General features: G+C 37.9%; 1 protein-coding gene and 1 pseudogene across 11 annotated transcripts in view; both read left to right on the top strand.

Moving 5' to 3' along the window:
- Positions 1-15,011, top strand: part of SBF2 (SET binding factor 2) — a 526,174-nt gene that overhangs the window by 337,343 nt on the left and 173,820 nt on the right. For all 11 annotated transcript variants that reach the window (NM_001425069.1, NM_001425070.1, NM_001424318.1 and 8 more), the window contains 2 exons: positions 3,617-3,726; positions 5,393-5,542. In NM_001425069.1, coding sequence (NP_001411998.1) covers positions 3,617-3,726; positions 5,393-5,542 — 260 coding nt within the window. The remainder of the gene's footprint in view (positions 1-3,616; positions 3,727-5,392; positions 5,543-15,011) is intronic.
- GLULP2 (glutamate-ammonia ligase pseudogene 2) lies at positions 7,587-10,914 on the top strand (annotated as a pseudogene).

Below are 15,011 nucleotides of genomic sequence, written 5' to 3'. Positions count from 1 at the left end.
TTTATATAAATAGAATTATACAAAATGTAATCTTTTATGACTGGCTTCTTTCATTTAGCATAATATTTCCAATGTACGTCTATGTTGTAGCATGTATCAGCATTTCGTTTCTTTTTTTTTTTTTTTTGAGACGGAGTCTCGCTCTGTCACCCAGGCTGGAGTGCAGTGGAGCAATCTCGGCTCACTGCAAGCTCCGCCTCCCGGGCTCACACCGTTCTCCTGCCTCAGCCTCTTGAGTAGCTGGGACTCCAGGCGCCCGCCACCAGGCCCGGCTAATTTTTTTGTATTTTTAGTAGAGACGGGGTTTCACTGTGTTAGCCAGGATGGTCTTGACCTCCTGACCTCGTGATCTGCCCTCCTCGGCCTCCCAAAGTCCTGGGATTACAGGCGTGAGCCTCTGTGCCAGGCCTCATTTATTTTTAAATGTCTGAATAATACTCCGTTGTTTGGATATATATCACATTGGTTATTTATCCATCAATTGATGGATATTTGAGTTGGTTCTACATTTTGGCTATTATGAATAATGCTGCTGTGAACATTTATGTGCAAGATTTTGTGTAGATATGTTTTCAGTTCTCTTGGATGTATACTTAGGATTGGAATTGCTGGGTCATATGGTAATTCTATGTTTAATGTTTTGAGGAGCTGCCAAACCATTTTCCAAAGCGGTCGTGCCATTTTAGATTTCTTTCGTTCTAATTTCAGCCACTGATACTGAACATTTTTTCATGTGCTATTGGTCATTTCACTGTCTCTTTGCCCATTTTGAAATTGGGCTATTTGCCTTTTTATTATTGAGTTGTAAGCATACTCTCTATATTCTATATATAAGTCCCCTACCAGATATATTATTTGCTAATTTTTCCCCATTCTGTGAGTTGTCTTCCTTTACTAACTTTTGTCTTTTTTTCAGCTATTGAGGAAGAAATATTAAAGTCTCCCATTATAATAGCAGAATTCCCTATTTTTCAGTTTTTCCTGTTTTTCTTGATATATTTTGAAGTTGGTTAATTAGATGCATGTATAAAATGTGAATTAGGTTGGATTCTCCAAAGGAAAAAAATTCCAGATAGTAAACATATTTATTACAAGAAAATATGTTTTCTGGCTGGGCGTGGTGGCTCACGCCCATAATCCCAGCACTTTGGGAAGCCAAGGTGGGCGGATCACTTGAGGTCAGGAGTTCAAGACCAGCCTGGCCAACACGGTGAAACTCCATCTCTACTAAAAATACAAAAAATTAGCCAGGCGTGGTGGTATGCACCTGTAGTCCCAGCTACTTGGGAGGCTAAGGCAGGAGGAGAATCACTTGAACCCAGGAGGCAGAGGTTGCAGTGAGCCAAGATCGCACCACTGTACTCCAGCCTTGGTGACAGAGCAAGACTCTGTCTCACAAAAAAAAAAGAAAAAGAAAAAGAAAATATGTTTTTTTCTAATAACTCAGCCTAAAGAAAATTTAAAATACTGCTAAAGATATTTTAGATTTAAAAGTTTATAAACATAAACACATTGCTCTCTCAATAAAGTGTGTTATTAATTGGAGATTGTAAGTTTTCTATTCTAATATAGATAGATTTTCAGTTAATGCCACCAACCTATGTGTGTGGGAAGCACCAGAGCCCACAATTATGAATGAGCATTTCAGAGAGAAAAGTCACGTGAAATAATCAGTTTAACCAGGAAATTAATGTTACATGATTAAAAATGATTTGAAGAAAACTGGTAAAATTCAAGTAAGGTCTATAGTCTCATTCATTGTATTATGCCAGTTGTTTTCCTGATCCTAATAAAGCATAATTATGAAAGATGTCACCATAGGGGGAAGCTGGGTGATGAGTACAAAGATCTTCTTTGTATTACATTTGCAGCTTATTGTGAGCATATAATTAGTTTTATTAAAAAGTTTAAGGCTGGGCGCGGTGGCTCATACCTGTAATCCCAGCACTTTGGGAGGCCGAGGTCGGCGTATCACCTGAGGTCGGGAGTTCAAGACTAGCCTGAGCAACATAGAGAACCGCTGTCTCTACTAAAAATACGAAATTAGCCGGGTGTGGTGGCGCATGCCTGTAATCCCAGCTACTTGGGAGGCTGAGGCAGGAGAATCACTTGAACCTGGGAGGCAGCCGAGATCGTGCCATTGCACTCCAGCCTGGGCAATAAGAGTGAAACTCTGTCTCAAAAAAAAAAAAAAAAAAAAAGTTTAAAACATTATTTGACGAATATAGGTTTTGTATTGATGAGATGAAAGGAATGCTAATGAGTAAAATATGATAGTCTTTCTTCTTAGGTATGGGAGAAGGTGAAGGGATTGTGCCTTTAGAATCCAAAGAGTAGCCATAAAATATAAGTAGTCTTTTTGGCTTGAGAACCATTGATACTATTCTCACTTATAAATGGGAGCTAAATAATGTGTACACATGGACATCAAGTGTGGAATAATAAGACGCTGGTGACTCAGAAGGCTGGGAGGGTGGGAAGGGAGTGAGGGATGAGAAATTACTTAATGGCTACAATATACATCATTTTGGTTGATGGATACACTAAAAGCCCAGACTTCACCACTATGCAGTATGTCCATGTGACAAGGCTGCACTTGTACCCCTTAAATTTATGCAAAAAAAAACTATTGATACTACCTCATTTAAACAAATGGCATAGTATAGTTCTTTGTGAAAGTATAAATTTTATATAAATACTACTTTCATTTATATCCTTCTAATATTATTTTAATAAGTTAAATTTATTTAGGTAACTAGCTTAGTAGCCTAGGTAATACACTAGAATTTTCTAACCCTATGGTAAAAGGTGAAAGGTGCTAGGTTTGCATGACTAAAAAGTGACTTTCCTAAGCCAGTGTAACAGTTCATTGATCATGATCGTTTCTCTTTGTTTGCACTACTTTCTTTCAAGTCCCCTCTACTCAAATGTGTAATATCTAATATTTTGTGGAATGTAGTTTTTCTTTGGTAATATCTTAGAAATATTAACAATATTACTAGTTGTAAACAAAGTTTAAAATAGATGTTTGCCTTTGTTTAATATAATTTTACTTTGCAATGTGAATTAGTTTGCATAAAAGTTAAGTGTCTCATTAGAATCTACCCTGTGAAATTATTAATCAGCTAGCCTGATACTTCAACACTGGAACATGTAATCAAAATAATGATATGGAATACTTTCAATGCTCTGTAATAAGGGAAAAAATAAGGTGTAGGTCATATCAACAGTTTTTGTTTGTTTTCTAATAAGAGATGTGGTCTCACTCTGTCACCCAGCTGCAGTTCAGTAGTGCTGTCCTAGCTCACCGCAGACTTGGACTCCTGGGCTCAAGTGATCCTCCGACCTCAGCCTCCCGAGTCACTGGGATTACAGTGCAAGACACCATGCCCGGCTAATTTTTGTATTTTTTGTAGACAAGGGTCTTGCTATGTTGCCCAGGCTTGTCTCAAACCTCTGGGCTCAAGGGATCATCCCACCTCAGCCTCCCAAATTGCTGGGATTACGGGTGTGAGCCTCCACGCCCAACCTACAGTCTTAAAGTAGTAGTCTCTTTGCTTTTGTAATTACCAAAGAAGTTTAATTTATTTGTGCTTTCTTTATATTCTTTTACTAGTTTCGATAATGGACAAGGTGACGACAGTTTTCAACAGTGCACAAAGACTAGAAGTTGTCAGAAACTGTATCTCATTCATATTTGAAAATAAAATTTTGGAAACTGAAAAGGTAATAAAATGTGATCTTTCCCAAGTAAGCATTTATCATTTCCCTTTCAGATTTACGTGCTGAGGTTACCAGCTTCTCTCTTCTTTAATTCTATCCCTTTTCCTAATAAAGTATCCTCTCATTGTTTGGATCATTTTAAATGAATAGTGTCTAAGATTTAAAGCTGTTGGGCCAAGCTTAATTATATGACCACCAGAAATATATTCATAGTAATTTTTTCTGTCAAACTTTTAAACATTGTTCACAAAACACTATTTTGGGATATTACTTAGAAACTTAAAATTTTTTTCATTTTATTTTTATTTTTGGAGCCAGAGTCTTGCTCTGTCACCCAGGCTGGAGTACAGTGACATGATCTTGGCTCACTGCAGCCTCTACGTCCCAAGTTCAAGCGATTCTCCTGCCTCAGCCTCCCAAGTAGCTGGGACTACAGGCACGCACCACTGCGCCCGCCTCATTTTTGTATTTTTAGTAAAGATGGGGTTTCACCATGTTGGCCAGACTGGTCTTGAACTCCTGCCCTCAAGTGATCCAGCCGCCTCAGCCTCCCAAAGTGCTGGGATTACATGTATGAGCCAACATGCTTGGCCAAAACTTAACATTTTAATATAATTTTATGTATTGCAAAGAATCTAGTTAGAATATGTAATGAATTATAGGAACTGTAGTATTGAACTTAAATGTGCCTCCTTAGAGCATGTTTTCTTGCCTTCTTCAATGAAACATGCTGAACATAATGTAACCCTTTCTTACTGACTCATTGTCATAGTTCTGAATATCTATTTTCAGGGGTTGGTTAAAGCATGTAGAAATGTTTACCTTTACACTGACTGACCCAGTGCTCTTTACATTTTGTGCTTTTTGGTTTCTATGTTTTCTTAGAGTTGAAGTCTTTCACTTCTTTTGCTTTCAACTTTCACATCCTATTTCTTATACCCACCTTTAGTGATATCATGCCCTCCTACTTCTTGTTTTCTCCTTTGTTCTGATTTTTTAGCTAAATAAGCTTATTATTATTATATGTGAAGTAAATTAACTAAGTCCTACATGGTGAACTGAAGGAGGCATCTTTATGGATGTGCCTGTTGTAAAGCGAAAAGAGTTTTAATGCATACACCTAGAGATATCTGTTTTTGCAACTCCGAGTCCTTTTTCTTTCCTTTTTTATGATATTTAAATGAGAAGAGATTGTAGAACTTTTCAGTCATAATTTAAAGCTGAATAGTGATTAAGCAGCCAACCAGTTTAAAAGTATGAAATCACTTGTATTTCTTATTGTTTTAATTTTTCTTTCTGTTCTTGCCATGGAAAATTTACTAGTTATAGAAAGGTGTCTTACGTATCTATGGCTTTGACTCATGATCTGAAGCAACAGTCAATTTGGTAACCAAAGTTTTGTTAACTTGAAGAAAAATAGTGAAATTAAATGTTTTTCAATTTATCACATAATTATCTTATATTTCTTGCTGGTTTACATATAAAAATAACCACAAATCTATTTTATAATTGTCTTAATAATAAATCACCTATTCCCTAGGAGTTTAATTTTACTAATAACTATGTTAAATAAATTATAGGATGCGTTTGAATTTTCAGGATGATTGTTTGAAAGTTGTTGTTTCCCCCAGTGGTACCATTTGGTCATTTGTACCTCTCTTGTCCTCAGACCCTTCCTGCTGCACTCAGAGCCCTTAAAGGAAAGGCAGCAAGACAGTGTCTCACTGATGAATTGGGTTTGCATGTCCAGCAAAACCGGGCAATATTAGACCATCAACAGTTTGACTACATAATAAGGATGATGAATTGTACTCTACAGGTAATTTGTAGTTCTTTCAGATTATTCCTCTTATTTGAGAATACTTTTCATTTTTCCAGAATATTTTGTAATTACCAATATATCAGTTCTTGAGCCTACCACAGCTAATAGGATGAAGCGTCAGTATCTCTATCATTTCTGTCAAATACTTTTTTATTACTTGGCATAAATATTAAGAGTTTTTGTTCTTTCTTTGTTTTCTCTTTGAAAATGCTAGATTATTTTACTAGTTCTGTAATATAAGCAAGTTCTTTGAAAATGAAAAGTCATCTTTAAAGCATTCAGTTATATATTACTTAATGTCTATAGTCACATCAGCCCTTTTCAGTCAGTTTTCAGTTGTCCAAGCAGAGGACAATGAATGGTGGATAATCCAAACGATAAATGAATTACTTAATTAAGTATTTAAGTACTTTGTGTTTGTAAAGCACAACAACAAAATTTCCACTTGGCTTCAAAATGTGTGTATGATCTTTCAGAAACAAACTTCCCACAAAACAGTGAGGACAATTTAGGAGAAGCTAATAATCTTGTTTCCTCATCCTGCCTCCCTTGTTAGAGAGTCTATGACATTGGCATTCTGTTGAGAGGTAATGTAAAGTTCCTTTCTCAAACATTTTGCACAAGGTGGAAATGTAATTAAATATTAAGACTTCAAAGATCATCCGTGGGACTCCAGACAAAGTAAATAAATGCATGTTAAATATTGGTACATTGGAAAGCAAGAATTATAGGATATAATTAATCAAATTTATGAAAGAAACAAGGCCTAAATAAATGAGAAAATGTATCATTTGTATGGAATGGAAGACTCAATATGTTAAAGATATCAATTCTCCCCAAAACAATCTACAGAGACAATGCAATTCCTATCAGAACCTTAAACAGAAGAATAAAAGCCTTAAAATTACCAATATACTCCTAAAGAAAAACAACAAAGCACAGCAATTTACCTTGTCAGGTATCAAAAATTTAGTTTAAGATTATATTATTTGGCCAGGCACAGTGGCTCATGCCTGTAATCCCAGCACTTTGGGAGGCCGAGGTGGGCAGACTACAAGGTCAGGAGTCCAAAACCAGCCTGGCCAGCATGGTGAAACCCCATCTCTACTAAAAATACAAAAATTAGCCAGGCTTGATGGCAGGCGCCTGTAATCCCAGCTACGCAGGAGGCTGAGGCAGGAGAATCACTTGAAACCAGAAGGCGGAGGTTGCAGTGAGCTGAGATCGTGCCACTGCACTCCAGCCTGGGTGAAAGAGCGAAACTCCGTCTCAAAAAATAATAATAATTATTATTATTTAAGACAGTGTAGAATTGGCACACTTATAAACAAATTGACCAACAGAATAAAATAGAAAGCCCAGAAACAAATGCACACATATATGGAAACACGATTTATGGCAAAATTGGCACCAGCAGTGAAAAGATGAGCAGTTCAATTAATAGTGCTGGGACATGTACACATAACATACCATTGATACAAAAAATGCATAGATACCTCCCACCACACACAAGAATCATTTCCACATGTATTAAAGACTTAAATATGAAGAGCCAAAAAAAGCTAATCTATAAAGCTTAAAAGTTTTCAAACATAATACAGGAAATATCCATATGAATTTGGGGTAGGGAAAGATTTGTTAAACTAGTCACAACTAGTGCCAATGTTAAAAGAAAAGATTGATAAATTTGACTACATTAAAATTAAGAACTTCTGTTCATTAAAAGATACCATAGAGAGAGGGAAAACATAAACCTCAGAGAGAGAGGTTAATGCTCCGATTACAAGAACTATAAGCCAGGCATGGTGGTGTGCATCTATAGTCCCAGCTACTCAGGTAGCTGAGATAGGAGAATCACATGAGCCCAGGAGTTAGGCTGCAGTACACTATAATTGCGCCTATCAATAGCCACTGAACTCCAGCCTAGACAACTTATCAAGACCCCATCTCTTTAAAAAAGAAAAAACCCTACAAATCAGTATTTTTTCAAAAAGACAACCTAACTTGAAAATGAGCAAAAGATTTAAGTATCTTAAAAGGCAGAGCCGAGAATGGGAGAAGAGCAGAGTTTCTGAGCGCACAGTGGCCTCCCCTCCTCTCTCCTCTCCTCACTCTCGCAGCCTACCTTTACCTACCCGCCTGCTCAGTGCCCAGAACACCTTCCACCATGACCATCTCAGCAAGCTCCCACTTAAACAGAGGCGTCAAGCAGGTGTACATGTCCCTACCTCAGGGTGAGAAAGTCCAGGCCATGTATATCTGAATCGATGGTACTCAAGCAAGACTGCGCTGCAAGTGAACCCAAGCGTGTGGAAGAGTTACCTGAGTAGAATTTTGGTGGCTCTAGTACTTTGAAGGTTCCAACAGTGACATGTATCTCATGCCTGCTGCCATGTTTTGGGACCCCTTCCACAAGGACCTCCACAAGCTGGTGTTCTGTGAAGTTTTCAAGTGCAATCGAAAGCCTGCAGAGACCAATTTGAGGCACACCTGTAAACGGATAAGGGACATGGTGAGCAACCAGCACCCCTGGTTTGGCATGGAGCAGGAATATATAATCTCATGGGGACAGACGGGCACCCCTTTGGTTGGCCTTCCAGTGGATTCCCTGAGCCCCAGGGTCCATCTTAACTGTAGTATGTGAGCAGACAAAACCTATGGCAGGGACATTGTGGAGGCTCATTACCGGGCCTGCTTGTATTCTGGAGTCAAGATTGCAGGGACTAATGCTGAGGTCATGCCTGCCCAGTGGAAATTCCAAATCGGACCCTGTGAAGGAATCAGCATGGAAGATCATCTCTGGGTGACCTGTTTCATCTTACATCGTGTATGTGAAGACTTCGGAGTGATAGCAACCTTTGATCCTAAGCCCATTCCTGGGAACTGGAATGGTGCAGGCTGCCATACCAACATTAGCACCAAGGCCATGCGGGAGAATGGTCTGAAATACATTGAGGAGGCCATCAAGAAACTAAGCAAGCAACAGCAGTACCACATCCACATTCCCATGAAACTTCTAACATCAACGACTTTTCTGCTCTTATAGCCCATCATAGTGCCAGCATACACATTCCCCAGACTGTTGGCCAGGAGAAGAAGGGTTACTTTGAAGATCATTGCCTCTCTGCCGACTGTGACCCATTTTCGGTGACAGAAGCCCTCATCTGCCCGTGTCTTCTCAAACCGGAGTTGAGCCCTTCCAGTACAAAAACTAAGTGAACTAGACCTCCAGCTGTCAAGCCCCTCCTAGTACTTCATCCAACTCCAACTCTTCCCCTCTCCCAGTTGTCCTAATTGTAACTGAAAGGATGCTCACGCCTGTAATCCCAGCACTTTGGGAGGCCGAGGCGGGCGGATCAGGAGGTCAGGAGATCGAGACCATCCTGGCTAACACGGTGAAACCCCGTCTCTACTAAAAATACAAAAAATTAGCCGGGCGAGGTGGCGGGCGCCTGTAGTCCCAGCTACTCGGGAGGCTGAGGCAGGAGAATGGCGTGAACCCCAGGGGGCGGAGCCTGCAGTGAGCCGAGATTGCGCCACTGCACTCCAGCCTGGGCGACAGCGAGACTCCGTCTCAAAAAAAAAAAAAAAAAAAAGAAAGGATGGAATATGAGGGTCTTTTTAAATTCCTTGTGCCCAGTTAATCTTGCTTTCTTTCTTTGGCTGGGATAAGGGGTCAAATTATTAATTTCTTCACATCTTTACCCTCCTTTTCTTTCCCTATCACTGAAGCTTTTTAGTACATTAGTGGGGAGCTGGGTGGTGAAACATAACCACTGCTTCCATTTAACGGGGTGTGCCTGTTCAATAAGCGTAGCTATCGGAACAGACTGCATGTTTGAAGGAGGGGGATTTTTTCTTTGAGGGACCTGAGAGGGGAAGACCTGACTTATTCTGGTTAGGTTAGGATTTCCCTTTGTGGTGGAAATGTTTCTTAAAAGATTATAACCAACTTTCTACAAAAGTAGGGATTAGGAGAGAAGGTAGGGGTTGGGGATCAGGGAGGAGAATGCCCTTGGTCTCCTGCTTGTGTGGGACTAGCCTAGCTTGGGGTGAAATGCTCTCCTCTGAACACAAAGCTTAGTATAAACTGATGGATATCCCTACCTTAAAAGAAGAAGAGGTTCTTTTTGCTTGGTCCTCTATTTATCACACAAAACAGAGTAGTGTTTTTATATTTAAATGTAAAAACAAGGGTCGGGTGCAGTGGCTCATGCCTGTAATTCCAGCACTTTGGGAGGCCAAGGCAGGTGGATCACGAGGTCTGGAGATTGGGACCATCCTGGCCAACATGGCGAAACCCTGACTCTACTAAAAATACAAAAAATTAGCCGGGCATGGTGGCAGGCGTCTGTAGTCCCAGCTATTCAGGAGGCTGAGGCAGGAGAATCGCTTGAACCCAGGAGTTGGAGGTTGCAATGAGCCGAGATCATGCCACTGCACTCCAGCCTGGGCGACAGAGCAAGAATCTGTCTCAAAAAAAAAAATAAAAACAAGAAGATTATATATATAGTTTTGTGGCTTATGTGTGTTTTGCTAAGGGAGAAACAACATACAGGTCACGGGATACCAAATTCAAAGCAAATAATCTAGACAGAAATTAAGTAGCCCCTTTTGAGTAAGGAGTGAGGGAAGTGGTGCTTGAAAGTTGTTGATTTGCGGTTAGTCCTTCATGACCACTCTAGGGTTTCTGTGCCCTGCCCACCCTCTGGAGAAGACGAATACTGGTCAGTTAACAGACGACATGTTACTAGCAGTCACTTGATCCCCATGGCTTTGGTTTAAAAGACATATACTTGTCCACATGGGTTTAGAGGTAAGAGTTAGCTGGTCAACTTGAGCATGTTACTGACAGAGGGAATATTGGGGTTATTTTCTGGTGGGAATAACATGTCACTAAAGCAGGACTTTTGATATATTAAATTTTTAAAAAACAAAATAGAAGTTTAGATTTTAATCAAATCTGTAGAGTTTCTAAGTAATTTTTGCAGAATTGCCTGTTTGCTTTAACTGTCTCCTTCTGCCTCTGCTCTTGAAGGATATGGGGACAGGGCTAGAGTCAAAACACTTGAAATTTTGTATCCCAATGTCTTTTCTCCCAGTGTGAAATATTCCATTCTTTTGTTAAGACTACTGAGCAGTTATTTTTTTCTTTTGTAATAAGAAACAAACCCCACCTTTATCTCTACATTTCCGCTACCATTCTCTGGTTTTTGTGTTTGCTTCAGGGGGCCAGCTGTGGTTTTCTCTTGCCATGATGACTTCTAATCGCCAAGTACAGTATGCTCAAAGTCAGACAACTCCTTACTATAAACAAATTGTGTAACTGCCCAGAGCAGCACTTATAAATCAGCCTAACATAAGATCTCCAAAAAAAAAAAAAAAAGAGTTAAGGAAACCCACTTGGATGATAAGTGTATAACAAGATGATCTGTGTCAATAATTGAAGAAATGCAAATTAAAACTATAAGCAGAGCCTTTTACACTCACTGGCAAGAATTAAAAAGTCTGATAATATCAAACAAATGTATGGAACAAATAGAGTATATAAACTCTGCTAGTGAACGTGTAAGTTGGTATAGCTACTTTAGAAATTTTAATAAGATATGAGAAATAAGATTATTGGTCATTATCTTATAAAGCTGCATATGAAGCGTACTCTATCACCTAGTGATTTCCTTCCTAGAGGAGCTCTTGCCCACATACATCAAGAGACATGTACAAAAATGTTAATGGCAAGATTGTTCAAAATAGCAGAAAACTTGAAATGACTCATATGCCAACCAACACTAGAATGGATAACTTATATCTTCTTACACTAGAATATTATATATCAGAGAAAATAAATGAACTGCAGTTACAAAGGATGATGTAGATGAATCTTAAAGAAGATAATTCTGTACAAAAATAAAAAGACAATTCAGCACTGTCATGAGTTACAGAAAAATAAAAAGGAAAAAAGAAAAAAAAGGACAATTCAACTATAATATGGATCCACTTTACAAAATTCAAGTGCATGTTATATACTATTTAAGGATATTTAATCTAATGATACAAACATACGTGGTAAAAGTATTTTTTTAAAACTAAGGTAATAAGAAACAAAATATTTAAGAAAATTACCTCTGCGGGACACAGAGGAGGGGCAGTAAACATGGGGATCTTCCAATGTAATGATAATATACTATTTAGGTACATGGGTGTTCATTGTATCATTCTTCATAACCTTATAGCTTATGTATATTTTATGTCTTAAAGTACTGACTGCTATTAGATTCTTTACAGGGCATATTTATCTTCTCAAACTCACTTCAAACATTTTGTAGATTGTATAAGTTAATTGCCAAGTTAGGGGATGATTCACTTTTACTGGATATACATTCTTTAGAGTATGAGACAGTAGATATAATACTTTATAATGGCAAAAATCAAAAACAGCCTAACTGCCTACCATTTGGCTAGCGATTAAATATGGTGCACCTCTTCTTTAGAACACTGTTCAGCTACTAAATAGAAACAAGTACATCTATATATGTACTGATATGGAAAAATTTCTTATATATTGCTAAGTAGGCAAAAGGGAAGTTACATAAAGTAGATATGAATCTATTTTTGACCTAAAATTATATGTATGTATGTATGTATATGATAGTAAAAATCTGGAAGGATATTTACACTAAAACCTGTTACGATTATCCTGATAAGAGAGATACCAATGATTACCTCTGGGATGTGGATTAGAAGAGTTTTGATTTCCATTTTAAACCCTTCTCTGCTTGAAACATACACATATAACTACATTATATAAGATATATAACAAGCATGTATTACTTTTATAATTTGAAAAAAGTCCTCAGTTTTTTAGAAAGGAAATTTTAGCATCCTATGAGAAGAACTTGCCCTAAAAGAAAAGCCCTGTCTTTTGTTACTTTATTACAGTTACTTTGTTACCATTATTATAGAGGATAAAGGAATAGAATTAACAGATTAAGGTCTCTAGAAGTCCTAAAGTCAGGCAATTTCCTAATTCCCCAATGATTGGTATTAAAATGACAAAAACCATTTTGGAGCTTTTTGCTATTAGTACTTTCTGTGCTGTTTATTAGCTGAAGAACTAACTTTTAAGGCTTTCTCTAAACTTAATTTTAGCATTTACAATTATGGCACTTATAGAATAGCAGATACCCTTAGGCTACAAATATTTTTCATTTGAATAATCATATTTCTAGAAACAAAAAGACATGGAGTTTTTTTGTTTTTGTTTTTGTTTTTGCAGCTTTCAAATACAATTGATTTACTCAGGAGTTGTTTGAAAAAAACCAAATACATTTGGATTGAGGGGCACTTAATATTTTATAATTCACTATTTCATGTATACATAAAAAGAGATCCTGTGCTTCATCAAGCACATGCTGTTGTTGAACGTTGTATAGAGGCCCTTCGCAGTTATGAATGGACTTACATGTGATGTTCTTACTTTAATGTGTTATTTGTTTAATGTGTCACCCACTTGGGATTTGTTAGTATTTATATTCTTGATGCAACAACGTACTTATCAACAGGGATTTAACATGACATTCTGAACATTTTTTTACAAAAGCATAGAGTTTCAAGGCAGAGTGGCCAAACATCTGTGTTGATGTTTTAAGAAAGAAACATTAACTAAATGAACTAATTTTTAGGTAGTGATTCAAAAACTTTGGTAATTTTTACTTTTCATGACCTAGAAGTTATTCTTCTGTCTTTCCTATCCACAAGGGAAAATTAAATGGAACATGAGTACTGCCAAAAGGCTGTTTATCAGGTTATTTCAATGCCAGTGTAATTTTTTATAGCACTGTTTCATAGAGGTTATAGACTATTCCTACCTATCATTTCATTTCAAAGAACTGATCATATTTTAGTATTTTTTGAAACTGAGATTACTAAAAATCTCTCCAAAAATATCATGGCCTTAACTTTTTATTTTGTCAAATATACAATTAAAGCTTTTTATGTGTCTACATCCTAGCTAAGATCTTTTAAAAATAAATTATAATTTTAAAACCCAGTGAAGTCTTCTATGTCCAGCATTATGTTAAATTGCATATACGATGAGGAACCTTCTCACTAACATAGAAATAGATCTCAGAAAATTACAAACAAATATAAACCATTATTTTGGTACATTGTTTCTCCTAAGAAGAAAAGAAAATCTCTAATGTATACCTCTTTATACTCTGAAGAAAAGGACAAGTAGAGAAAACCAAGCCCTGAGCAGTTAACAGTTGGGACAATCAGATTTGTGAGTACACCCTTGGCCTCTATAAGTCTTGGCCATCTGGTTGAACCTGAAAGTTTTGCGTCAAGCTGGAACATTGGAAAAAGAATAAAGTAATCCTTATTTACTTAGAATAATAGTCTCCAATCTCATCCAGGTTGCTGCGAATGCCATTAATTCAGTTCCTTTTTATGGCTGAGTAGTATTCCATCATATATATCTGCCACAGTTTCTTTTTTTTCTTTTTCGTTTTTTTTGAGTCTCACTCTGTCACCCGGGCTGGAATGCAGTGGCGTGATCTCGGCTCACTGCAACCTCTGCCTCCCAGGTTTAAGCAATTCTCTGCCTCAGCCTCCCGAGTAGCTGGGATTACAGGCGCATGCCACCACGCCTGGCCAATTTTTGTATTTTTAGTAGAGATGGAGTTTCACCATCTTGGCCAGGCTGGTCTTGAACTCCTGACCTTGTGATCCACCTGTCTCAGCCTCCCAAAGTGCTGGGATTACAGGCATAAGCCACTGTGCCCAACCCAATATGCCACAGTTTCTTTATCCACTCATTGATTGATGGGCATTTGGGTTGGCTCCGCATTTTTGCAATTGCAAATTGTGCTGCTAGAAACATTCATGTGCAGGAATCTTTTTGGTATGACTTCTTTTCCTCTGGGTAGATACATTGCTGGATCAAATGGTAGTTCTACTTCTACTTCTTGAAGGAATCTCCACACTGTTTTCCACAGTGGTTGTACTGGTTTACATTCCCACCAGCAGTGTAGAAGTGTTCCCTGTTCACCGCATCCACACCAATATATATTATTTTTTGATTATGGCCATTCTTGCAGGAATAGGGTGGTATCATATTGTGGTTTTGATATGCAGGAAAGAGCCTGTGATTTTGAAAACTGAGGAATATTTCCATATTAGTGAGTATAGTGTAGAAATGTGGTTGGAGAAGAGATGAGAACAGTAGATGGAGTAACCTGTGGTTAAAGTAAGCAGATTGCATATGTACATTAATCTCTGCTACCACCCAAAAGCCCATTAAAACAAAAGTAAGCCACTTAAAAAAATACATAAACCCACAGGCAGAACAGGAGAGGAGGCAACAGCAACATCTTAGAAGCTAGAAAGCTGATAGATGAGTGATCTTTACTTAGCAGACCCGAGAAAGCCTTTTCCCAAGTAGCAGCGGGAAAAGCCTTGAGGC

The sequence above is a fragment of the Homo sapiens genome, chromosome 11 (genome assembly GCF_000001405.40).
Source record: "Homo sapiens chromosome 11, GRCh38.p14 Primary Assembly".
In the NCBI taxonomy this organism is placed as follows: Eukaryota; Metazoa; Chordata; class Mammalia; order Primates; family Hominidae; genus Homo; species Homo sapiens.
The sequence above is the reverse complement of the archived record's forward strand: the minus strand, read 5'-3'. Positions and strand labels throughout refer to the sequence as shown.